This window comes from Homo sapiens, chromosome 18, assembly GCF_000001405.40.
Source record: "Homo sapiens chromosome 18, GRCh38.p14 Primary Assembly".
Classification (NCBI taxonomy): domain Eukaryota; kingdom Metazoa; phylum Chordata; class Mammalia; order Primates; family Hominidae; genus Homo; species Homo sapiens.
Window position 1 is genome coordinate 57,893,926 of NC_000018.10, and position 12,580 is coordinate 57,906,505.

General features: G+C 44.9%; 1 long non-coding RNA gene across 1 annotated transcript, besides 2 other annotated features; it reads right to left on the reverse strand.

Annotated features, from left to right (window-relative positions):
- Window positions 554-1,055: an enhancer, noted in NCBI's record as "H3K27ac hESC enhancer chr18:55561711-55562212 (GRCh37/hg19 assembly coordinates)". NCBI's record gives its function as "activates a minimal SCP1, AML or CMV promoter by ChIP-STARR-seq in naive H9 embryonic stem cells {active_cell/tissue: H9 hESC(naive)}" and the evidence as "EXISTENCE:reporter gene assay evidence [ECO:0000049][PMID:30033119]".
- Window positions 2,308-8,018, reverse strand: LOC105372140 (uncharacterized). Its single transcript, XR_935521.2, has 4 exons — window positions 7,918-8,018; window positions 5,514-5,923; window positions 2,885-3,036; window positions 2,308-2,447 (listed from the first exon to the last, which is right to left on the reverse strand). It is a non-coding gene; the product is annotated as an uncharacterized LOC105372140 (long non-coding RNA).
- Window positions 7,899-8,099: a silencer, noted in NCBI's record as "peak3167 fragment used in MPRA reporter construct". NCBI's record gives its function as "represses an SCP1 promoter by STARR-seq MPRAs in K562 erythroleukemia cells {active_cell/tissue: K562}" and the evidence as "EXISTENCE:reporter gene assay evidence [ECO:0000049][PMID:32103011]".

Here is a 12,580-nt window from a genome sequence, read left to right on the forward strand (position 1 = left end):
GCAGAGAATTGCTTGAACTCAGGAGGCAGAGGTTGCATTGAGCTGAGATCATGCCACTGCACTCCAGCCTAGGTGACAGAGCAAGACTCCATCTCAAAAAAAAAAAAAGAAGGAAAAGCAGTGAGTTTTCCCATACACAGTGTAAAAGGAGATAAACCTGTGAAGAAAGGGATGAACAGGCCAAGCACAGACTTTATTTACATCCCACACTTGTCTTGAGAAGTTTTCATGAAGCTACACACCAAGAGAATGGTAGCTATTTTATTATTGGTATTATTATCCTTGTTAGGTTTCATTTTCCTGGTTTCACCAATTTAGTTTGTTGAGGTTATTTTGCCCTTGCAGAGAAGGGCAAAATTTTACACACAGAGATTGTAGTGAGTTGAATGGTGGCACCCACCCCAAAATATATACCCACATCCTAATCCCTGGAAGCTGTGGATGGGACCTTACTTGGAAAAAGGATCTTTGTAGATGTAAGTAAATTAAGGATCCTGAAATGAGACCATCCTGGATCATCCAAGTGAGCATAAATCCAACAACAAGTGTCTTTTTTTTTTTTTTTTTTTTTTGAGACAAGTTCTTACTCTGTTGTCCAGGCTGAAGGGCAGTGGCACGATCACAGCTCACTCCAGCCTCGACCTCCTGGGCTCAGGTGATCCTCTACTTCAGCCTCCTGGGTAGCTGGGACTATAGGCCCACACCACCACGCCATGGCTAATTTTTGTATTTTTAGTAGAGGTGGGGTCTTGCCGTGTTGCCCGGGCTGGTCTTGAACTCCTGTGCTCAAGGGATCCTCCCGCCTTGGTCTCCCAAAGTGCTGGGATTATCAACGTGATCTGCCCGCCTGACCTTAACAAGTGTCTTTTTAAGAGAAAAGCAGAGGGAGGTTTGAGACGGAGAGGAGAAGCCAAGTGAAGGTGGAGACAGAGTTTAGGGCGATGCAGGGAGGAAAGCCAAGGACTGCCTGGAGCCGCCACCAGAAGCTGGGAGAGGCCAGGAAGGATTCTCCCCTAGCACTCCCAGAGGATGCAGGGCCTTGCTGACACCTTGATGTGGAACTTCTGGCCTCCAGGGAGAATAAACTTTTAAGTCACCAAATTGGTTTGTGATAATTTGTTACAGCAGCCACAGAAACTAACACAGAGGGTATTTTCCTCCTCACAGTCTGAAGGACCTGCCCAGGGGAAGAAGTAAACCACCTCTTACCTTTCCGACCATCTCAGAACCACGAGGAAATAGGAAGTGAGGCCTGGTATGCAGAGGGACGACTCAAACAGGTGATTAAGGAATTAACCAGTCACTTGTTGGAGGATAATGCCTCAGTGAGCAAGAGGCATCCCGAGTTCATAGCAGACAAGGACGCCTGACAGCTCTGGTGGTCCCTGACAAGTCTGACACCCACGGAGAAGCCTGAGGGGACGAAGCTGGCCTGGGTGATGGGCGCCATGTTGGATCCCAGGGAGGCAGGAAGGCACCAGGCAACGCCCCTGACTGGGAGTCATCCCAGGCCAGCGTCTTCCTGTTTGCTCAGGAAGAAACATTCATTTTCTCTGGCCTCAGCCTCCTAAACTGAAAAAAATAATGTTGTTCCACTCTAAGAATACTGCTGCGGGCTAATTTATTCATGGCTGTGACACACATAGCTTTCTTTAAAATAAAGTCCCTGGTGTCATTTTTAATAGGGTCATAAATGCAACTCGAAGAAACTGTCTTTTTGCATCTACCTGTGATTGTTTCTTTGTATCAGTCAGGGTAGTCTGGGTTATTCTGTGGTAACAGGCAGTGCCCAAATCTCACTGTTTTAAAACAATGAAGGTTGTTGTAGGCTGAACTGTGTCTTCAGATGTGGTCACATTCTGAGGTGCATATGGATTTTTGAGGGGACACAGTTTTTTAAGGGGACATTGGTCATTGAGGGAACACAGATCTTTAAGAGGTAATTAAATTCAAATGAGGTCATTAGGGTGGGCTTTTATCCAATATGACTGGTGTTCTTAGAGGAGAAAATGTGGACACAGACACAGAGGGAAGACGATATGAAGATAAAAGGAGACAGTGCCCATCTGTAAGTCAAGGAGAGAGGCCTGGAATGGATCCTTCCCTCATAGCCCTAAGAAGGAACCAATGCTATGGACACTTTGACCTCAGACTTCTAACTTCTACAACTGCCGAGACAAGCAATTTCTGTTGCTTAAGCCACCCAATCTGTGGTACTTAGTTACAGCAGCCCTAGCAAACCAGTTGGCTTAGAATGGGTGTATTAATCCATTCTCACACTGCTCTAAAGAAATACCTGAGACTGGGTAATTAATAAAGAAAAGAGGTTTAATTGGCTCATAGTTCTGCAAGCTGTACAGGAAGCATAGCGGCTTCTGCTTCTGTAGAGGCCTCAGGAAGCTTCCAATCATGGCAGAAGGCGAAGGGGAAGCAGGCACTTCACACGGCTGGAGCAAGAGAAAGAGATAGAGAAGGGGGAGGTGATACACACTTTCAAACGACCAGATCTCATGAGAACTCACTATGGCAAGAACAGCACCAAGGGGGAATCTGCCCTCATGATCCAATCACCTCCCACCAGGCCCCACCTCCAACACTGGGGATAGCAATTTGACATGAAATTTGGGCAGCAACACGGATCAAGCCATATCTATGAGGAATAGAGATTTTTGCACTTTTCAGTCATTGCTTTCTCCCTGGTTCCCAGAACAGGATTATGTTCTAGACACTTAAGAAATATTTGCTAAATTATGTTGAGTTAATCTTATAATAACATAATTAAGGTCAACTTTGGCTATCTGTGTGATGTTAGTTTCTTCAAAATAATGTCTTCAAATAATTTCTCTGAAATAATAATTGCCGATGTGGGAGAAGCTGTACTTACTTGTGTCACTGAGTCCTCAGTGCAATTGCCTGGAGCTGAAAGTGGTGTCCTGGCCCTGGCCCTGTCGTGTAGCAGAAGATCTATGCTCTTGGAGATGCTGTGATATAAATCAACTCAAGCTAGTTTAGAGAATGGAAGGATTTCTTTTTCCCCTAAGGAGTTAACAACAAAGTCATGGTAAGTGTAGGGGGTCCTTCTGGGCCACAGAAACAACTAGAAGCAGAGATATTTATTTTATTTTATTTTATTTTATTTTGAGACAGAGTCTTGATCTGCCACCCAGGCTGGAGTGCATTGGCGTGATCTCAGCTCACTGCAACCTCTGCCTCCTGGGCTCAAGTGATTCTCCTGCCTCAGCCCTCTGAGTAGCTGAGATTACAGGCATCTGCCATCATGCCCAGCTAATTTTTGTATCTTTAGTAGAGAAGGGGTTTCATCATGTTGTTCAGGCTGGTCTCAAACTCCTGACTTCAAGTGATCTGCCTGCCTCAGCCTCCCAAAGTGCTGGAATTACAGGCGTGAGCCACCGTGTCTGGCCTAGAATCAGGGATTAAAATAGCACCACAAATCTCTCTCTCTCTATCTATCTATCTATCTATCTATCTATCTATCTATCTATCTATCTATCTATCTATCTGTCTGTCTATATCTATCTATCTATATCTATCTGTCTGTCTATCTATCTATCTATCTATCTATCTATCTATCTATCTATCTCTGTCTGAATTCTATATGTGCTTCTTTCTTCATAGCAACTTCTTTCTTTCCTACTGTGTCGTGCTGCACAGTGGCGTCCTCTATATGGCTGGGACCTGGCTATTGGATTCTTTCCTTAGCTCCAACTTGGGTGCTACCTGGAGAAACATTTTGATTGGTCTCCCTTGGGATGGGTGCTCTCTCTGGTCCCATCAACTGTAGCCTGATGACCATGTACTCTTGCCCAGTGTAGTCGGGTGTTTACTCTGGCTTTATTAGCTGTGGTCAAGGGGACAGTCTATAGCATAGACATGGCCACCAGTCACCATTGTTTTAATATTCATTGAAAGAAAAGCTAGAAACCCATCACTATTTATGCAGACTCTTCCTTTTTCTTGGGTTCCTGTTCCTGCTTCATAGTTGATTCCTTTGTCACTCATCACAGCCTGCACTCAGGAATTAACCATGTTGTACTTTATACTGATCCCTGCTAAGGAATCTCTCAAACTCTCAGAAATGCCCAATTCTGTGACAAAGCCAGACCACCCTCTACAGGTCGGGGCTTGTGCCCACCACAGGCTAAACAGTCTAGGTTTGGCCAAGAGCAGGGTTTGAAGAAAGAGGCATATCACAGCTGGGCACTCAGTAGGTGTCAGTACATTGTGTTGAATGAAAGGTTCTGAGCCAGAGTCCTGAAGCAGGCACCTGGGCAGGCACGATCACAGGGCTCTCACCTCTCTAGCTGGGACCTGGGCCTGAGCTCAGTCCCCGTGATGGCCCTTGGTGAACTTTCTCAACATATCCCTTTCTTCTCCTTTGGTGACTTCCCATGGCTGAATTCTACCTTTACTGTGTACAGGGTTGCTGTCTATCTCAAGCCCCTCCCTGCCACCTATCATAAGCTCCATAAGGGCAGGCAGTCTTTTTCACACCGCATGCCTGTCATCTAGCTCACTGCCTGGCATATAGTAGGTAGTTGAATACATGAATAGGGTAATGGGTGATCAGGGCCTGGAGGAAGGTAGCAGGGGAATCTGTACTAGACCCAGAGTCAGGAAAGGCATCCCCAAGAAATGGCATTAAAGCTAGGGTGAGAATAGCCTGGGAGGAGGATAAGCACAGAGCTCCAGGGACTCTCCTCTCTCCTTCTCTGCCCAGGGACCTGCTGCAAGCTGGCAGCACAGACACAGCCAGTGGGGAACAGCTTGCAGCAGGCCCCTGGACAGGGAAGGAAATTAGTGGCAGAGCCAGGCCTAGACTTTGACTCTCCACACTCGCTGTCACAGCCAGAAGAGTCCCTGGTTTGGTTCCATTCCAGAAGGATTATAGTAGGTTGATGCTTTCTTGAACTCCAATGTGGTTAAAATCATCACCAAACACTTGGGCCCAGTCAGAGGACTCCAACTGTTTGATATTCCATAGACTCTCAAGAGGAAACCATAATTGCCTATTAGTCATTTTGCAGCTGGTACCAAATTACGAAAGACAGCACACTCGTGTGTGTGTGTGTGTGTGAGAGAGAGAGAGAGAGTCAAAAAGTGGATACTAAGATAATGCAGAATGGCTTAGAATAGTTGAGAAAATAAACACGTAAAAAGATTAGTAAATAAGAAAACCATTGAGTCATTTATTTGAATTATATAATTGATTCAGAATAGATTAAACACCACAAATGGATAGAGCTGATGCTCTTAAAACCCAAAAGAAAACACTTTATCCATAGTGTTGGCAGTGTTGGTTCAGTGTTAATCCAAATACGATATGAAGCTACCCAAATTCGAATTAAAGGGTTCTTAGTACAGCAAACGCCAGGACAGAATAACAAGAATCCACCATCCACCCAAAGCTAAAAAAATGCTGTGCATGCATGACTGAAACCCTTCTTTCCCAAGTGGAAACACCAACGCATTAACAAATATTTAATGGGACTTACCATGTGCGAGGTACTCAGAGAAGCTTCCAAACTTAGCAACCCCTTTTGTGGCTGTCCTGAGAGATCCTTTCACATTTACTAATTGCACCTCAGATCCATTTGTTGATGAAAAGCACCATGCAGCTGGAGATCTTTTATCAAGATTTTACATCCCCTCCCTCTTGCTATTTGGCTTTCTTTTCCAACGGCATCCAAAAATGGGGCATGAGCTCATGTTCCCCTGTGCTGCCCCTTGTTCACTTCTTCCCTCTTTCCTACCACCATTCAAGGGGCAGGTTTAGGTGATCTGGCTACAGATTGTTCAGCCCAGTTGGACCCCTTTAAGAGTTCTTCTCACCTTTTTACACCGTTGGTGGGAAAGTAAATTAGTTCAACCATTGTGGAAGACAGTGTGGTGATTCCTCAAAGACCTAGAACCGGAAAAATACAATTTGACCCAGCAATCCCATTACTGGGTATATACCAAAAGAAATATAAATCATTCTATTACAAAGATACATGCACACATGTGTTCATTACAGCACTATTCACAATAGCAAAGACATGGAATCAACCCAAATGCCCATCAGTGACAGACTGGATAAAGAAAATGTGGTACATATACACCATGGAATACTATGTGGCCATGAAAAGGAAAAAGATCATGTCCTTTGCAGGGACATGGATGGAGCTGGAAGCCATTATCCTCAGCAAACTAACGCAGGAACAGAAAACCAAACACTGCATATTCTCACTTATAAGTAGGAGCTGAACAGTGAGAACACATGGACACGGGGACGGAAACAACGCACACTGGGGCCTCTCAGTGGGTGGGAGAACATTAGGAAAAATGGCTGATGCACGCTGGACTTAATACCTAGGTAATGGGTTGATAGGTGCAGCAAACCACCATGGCACACGTTTGCCTATATAACAAGCTTGCCCGTGGACCCCAGAAATTAAAATAAAATAAAAATTTTTTAAAAAAGAGTTGTCCTCTGCCTGAGCAACATAGGAGACCCCATCTCTAAAACACATTTCAAAAATTAGCTGGGCATGGTGGCATGCACCTGTAGTCTCAGCAACTCAGGAATCTGAGGCAGGAGGATTGCTTAAGCCTGGGAGTTTGAGGTCACAGTGAGCTTTGATTGCACCACTGCACGCCATCCTGGGCAACAGAGTGAGACCCTGTCTCTAAAAAAAAAAAAAAAAAAAAAAAAAAAAAGTTGTCAAGCCGGGCATGTTGGCTTTCGCCTATAATCCTAGCACTTTAGGAGGCCAAGGTGAGTGGATCACCTGAGGTCAGGAGTTCGAGACCAGCCTGGCCAACACGGTGAAACCGCATCTCTACTAAAAATACAAAAATTAGCCGGGTGTGGTGGCACACGCCTGTAATCCCAGGCTACTCAGGAGGCTGAGGAAGGAGAATCGCTGGAACCTGGGAAACAGAGGTTACAGTGAGCCAAGATCGTGCCACTGTACTCCAGCCTGGGTGACAGAGCAAGACTCCGTCTCAAAAAAAAAAAGTTGTCTTGTGGCCTAGAAAGTTGTCCCTCCACTACACAGAGTCCCTGGAGGACATCTAGGACTCAAGGACTCCCTTACCATAAAATGACACATCTGCACAGAGCAGTAATTTGATGAATGAGTCTCTGTGACTCCCCTGTAGACTCACAGCATTGCTTCTCAGGCCAAGTTCTGGAACATATCATCCTATTCCCCCATCCATACTGCCCTCTGACAACAAGTATCTGAAATATTTTGGCCTAGATTCCTATCTCAGGCAGACACCTAGAATTTTAGAAAACATCAAGTTGAGTATTGTTGTTAGAGGTGGCACTAGACATTTAGCAACCCAGAAGCCAAACCCACAAGGGAAAGGTGTGACCAGGGACCACGCAGTGGACAAGTTTCAGTGACTGATGGAAAGCTCGTTATAACCAAATGACATCTCTTCACCAGGTGTAGTGGACTGAATAATGGCTTTCAAAGATATCAGGTCCTAATCTCTGAAACCTGTAAATATTACATCATTTGGAAAAAATATCTTTGCAGATGAGATTACATTAATTATACTGAGATGAGGGAGATTATCTGGATTAGCCAGGCCCTCAATGCAATCACATTTATCCCTGAAAGAGAAGACCGAGGTAGATTTTACACACACACACACACACACACACACACACACACACACACAGAGGAGAGGGTGATATGAAGATGGAGGCAGAGATTAGAGTGATGTGTCCACAAGTCAAGGAATGCTTGCAGCTCCTAGAAACCAAAGGAGGCAAGAACAGATTCTCTCTGGAACCTCCAGAGACAGCATGGCCCTGCCAACCCTTGATTGTGGCCCAGTGATAATGATTTCAGACTGCTGCCTTCTGGAATTGAAAGGGAATAAATTTTTGTTGTTTTAACTCACCTGGTTTGTGGTGCTTTGTTAGGGCAGGCACAGGAAACTAACACACCAGGTACAGAACATAAAGAGAGGCGTCATGTGTGAGAGACATGCCTTTCTCATTTGGCCTTTCCCAGAATTAGGTGTGGCTGGTAAATCTCAGTGCTTGATGTCGGATATTGATTGCATAAGACATGCGAGAATGACGTGAGAGGCTTTATAAATCCAATGAGTCAACCAGGGACGGGTGGTTGGCTGTGGAGACGTCTAGGTAAGCTGCGACCATGACCGGGTTAAGCTAACACTTCTGTGAGAACACGTGCTTCATACAAACAGTCCAGACAGACCTAGAAGATGTGATCTCCTAGGTCTACAAACTCCTACAAAGCAGGAGACCACTGAGATATTAGGTTGGTGCAAAAGTAATTACAGTTACTGCCATTTAAAAGTTATGGCAAAATCACAATTACTTTTGCACCAATCTAATGTAATCACAGAGCTGCAACAGAGGTTAGTGCTCACTTCCTTCTGCCCATCTGTGTGACAAAGTCCCAGGGTTACACAGCCAGCCAGGAGGGAGCCTCCCCTGGCACCCATGAGTCTCATGACTCCTAGTTTCCTGTTGGCTTTCTTTCTGGCTCTGCCTATCTGCTATGGACCTGTCATTCATGCAAATTGGGTGCCTCTGTTTCTCGGGAGCTGTGTAGAGCCTAGACAAGTTCAAATCATCCCAAAGGACTTAGAGTAGGTCGGAATCAACATAATCAATGCCCCTGACACTGCCCCTCCACATGCCCTACAGGAGTTGGGAGCGCGCACCTCCACCCTATATTGTTGTCTCCAAATTCTTCTCTCCCTTCCCTTCTCTCTTCTTCCCTGAGGTCAGCCTCACATTCTGCAGGTCTAGCGAAAGGGTGTCTCACCTCAATCATGAGAAAGAGGAGTCCCAGCTCCAGGAGAAGCAGGAGCAGCCCAGGAAGGGGCTTCTCAGACCCTGAGAACTGAGCCATGGAGTGGCCATGTGCTGTTTTAGAACACAGCTGACAGGACACCTTGGCTCTTCTTCACCAGAGACTAAAATCAAGAGAAGCATCAGAAGTTTTGGAGTTCTCACTGTTCTTGCCCCAGGGCCACAGAGCTTCAGCTACCTGCTCCTCCCACAAGATCCAGATAACTCTCAGCCACCCTAGAGGAGTCCTTATTCTTCTAGGCCCCCAAGGGTTCTCAAGCCTAGACACATTAAAAATACCTGAGTATTTTTAAATAATCCCAATGCCTGAGTCCCTCTCCTACAGACTCTGATTTATTTGGTCTGGAGTGGGGCCCAGGAATCCATATATTTTTGAAAAATCACTCCAGGATATTCTCTCTCTCTCTTTTTTTTTTTGTACTTTATTTATTATTTATTTATTTATTTATTTATTTCCAGAGAGGGTCTCGCTCTGTCACCCAGGCTGGAGTGCAGTGGCGTGATCTTGGCTCACTGCAACCTCCACCTCTGATGTTCAAGCGATTCTCCTGCCTCAGTCTCCCGAGTAGCTGGGATTACAGGTGCCTGCAACTATGGCCAGCTAATTTTTTTGTATTTTTGGTAGATACGGGGTTTCGCCATGTTGGCCAGGCTGGTCTCGAACTCCTGACCCCAAGTGATCTATCCACCTCAGCCTCCCAAAGTGCTGGGATTACAGGCCACTCCAGGAGATTCTAATGTGCAAGCAAGATTGAGAACTCTTGAGCTGCCTGGCCTTCAGACTTTTTATTTTGCATCCCCTCTCAGCAAATCATGAAAAGCCTTGTCCCCTGGCATCACAGCTTAAATAAGTTAAAGTAGTTGCATGGAATATTATTTCTGACCTATTATACATAACTATGAACATTTTTAAACAAAGCCATTTTAAATGTATTAATAAACATATCCAATGATATCTAAACATCATAGTGATTTGATATCTATTATCCATTTGAAAATACATAAACAAGCCGGGTGCGGTGGCTCATGCCTGTGCTTCCAGCACTTTGGGAGGCTGAGGCAAGTGGATTACTTGAGGTCAGGAGTTCGAGACCAGCCTGGCCAACATGGTGAAACCGCATCTCTATTAAAAATACAAAAATTAGCTGGGCATGGTGGCGGGTGCCTGTAATCCCAAATACTTGGGAGGCTGAGGCAGGAGAATCGTTTGAACCCAGGGGACGTTTGAACCCAGGTTGCAGTGAGCCGAGATCAGGCCACTGTGTTCCAGCCTGGGTGACAGAGCGAGACTTCATCTCAAAAAAAAAAAAAAGAAAGAAAGAAAAAATACATAAACAAGCTCCTTTATAGTAGTCTAAAATTTTACACTACTTTTTTTTCTCCTTGAGCTCATATTTTCATTGCCTTTCCCTAATGTATTTTTCTAATGTAATATATTTTTATACTCCAATGCCTGTTGATCATCCTGTTTTATTTCTCTGCCACAAAAATATCTACATAAATTGAAAATTTTATACATAAGACTTTTATTCTGCATTCTTAAGCCCTAAGTGTTAAAATATTTCTTCTTGGTTATCATGAATGTCACTAGTAGTACCCATTAATCAGCATTATATAAAAATATCACGTTATTAAACATGAATACAATTTTTAAATAGGAAAGGTAAAATTGCATTTTAAATGAATTTCTCAGTGAGCTAGATGAGTATTTGTTCGTGTTTTCCAATGAGCTCATGTATGTGGGAATGAATGAGACAGAGTTAGCAACAGTTTTATTTTCATCCTTAGTTTTATAGATTCAGGTGCTGGTAAACATTGGCTTACACAAATAAGTAGGAGGAAAGAGAAAAATTTCTCTTATATTAGTAGCACTCAATTCTCTAAGCTCCTTCCAAGGTATCTGCCAAAAATCATATTTTCCATCTGTCAGTTGACAGCTCAATTAAGTACTCCTTCAATTTTGCTCAAGGCAAGGAACTAGAAACCATTTGACTTGCAGAAGGATTTGTTACTCAGTCATTAGAACCACTAATTTCTCTTACTCTCTAGGAAGTACACCAAAAAGCTTTACCAAGACTTACCAAGTGATTCTTAATTATAAGTTTCTTTGGAAGCATATTTTCATACCTGGTATATTCAGAAAAGGTTGAAAAGCCTGAAATATCATTAATTTCAATTCTTGTTTATCAACGTAATTTAAAAATCTATACTTTTTAAACTACGTGCTTTGTGGGCTCGCCCCACCCTGCCCCCCAGTTTCAGTCATTCAACATACAGAAAATGTCTGCCGTGTAATCAAAATAGCAAGGCCAGGTCTCACTGTCAAAACAGGCTTACTTTCTGTTAGAAAATGTCCAGCTTTGCCAGGCACAGTTGCTCATCTCTGTAGTCCCAGCACTTTGGGAGGTTGAAGTGAGCTGATTGTTTGAGCCCAGGAGTTTGAGACCAGCCTGGGCAACATAGTAAGACCCCATTTCTTTCTTTCTTTCTTTCTTTTTTTTTTTTTGAGACAGAATCTTGCTGTGTCACTCAGGCTGGTGTGCAGTGGCACAATCTTGGTTCACTGCAAGTTCCACTTCCTGGGTTCAAGCAATTCTCCTGCCTCTGCCTCCAAGTAGCTAGGATTACAGGCACCTGCCACCACACCCAGCTAATTTTTGTATTTTTAGTAGGGACGGGGTTTCACCATGTTGGCCAGTCTGGTCTCCAACTCCTGACCTCGTGATCTGCCCACCTCGGCCTCCCAATTTCTACAAAAATAACATTTAGCCAGGTGTGGTGGTGTGTGCTTGTAGTCCCAGCTACTCAGGAGGCTGAGGTGGGAGGATCCCTTGAGCCCAGGAGGTCAAGGCTGTAGTGAGCTGAGATCTTGCCACTGCACTCCAGCCTGGGTGACAAAGTGAGACCCTGTCTCAAAAAAGAAAAAAAAAATGTTCAACTTTATTTTTTAATGCAAATCTTTCTGTTGACTTGCGTCCTCCATGATGGCATCCTTGCATTCCTGACTGAGACATGGACAGCTGGGCCATGGAGCTCCACCCACCATGAATGTCTGGGTGACAATGTAATGGGGTCCAGGTGAAGAAAGGCTCAGCTCTGTCAGGGCATCTGCTTTGTGCCCATGGGCTCCACCTTAGGAGGGCTGCCATCTTTGACAGCCAGGGCAGGGGGTGGCTTATGGTGGAAGAAGGGACCCGTGTTTGGGTGGGTTCTCCAAGAAACAGACCCACGATGAGCTTACACATGCAGAGACTTGGCATGCAAAGATTTTGTTAGAGGAATCAAGGATGAGAGAAAGCAAAGGTGGGGTGGTGGTGCTGAGGAAGGCCGGGACCGGTCAGATGGCAGTGTGAGTGCGAGGCTGCATGAAGGAGAGAGGGTGGAAGCATCCCAGGCTGCTGTGCACCCTCAGGAAGTTTCAGCAAGGCCACCAGGGAATTCGCGAGTCAAGTCTGGCCATCGGAGGAGTCCCGAGTCTCCCAGGAGCAGATCTGCCTCAGTTTCCCAGTCGCATTCAGTGGTTGGCTGAGAGCAGCTCACGGTGATGGAATCATGCACATTTGTGCCAGTGGATTTCAGAAGGCAGGAACTGGGGCCCCTGAGTCAATTTAGCCCCCTGGAGCTGGAATTCTGTGAGGAGCCTTCTCATGGCCACTCCAGGAAATGTTTGAATGAAACTTGTCACCACTTCTGCCACCCTGGTCTTTAACAGATGTG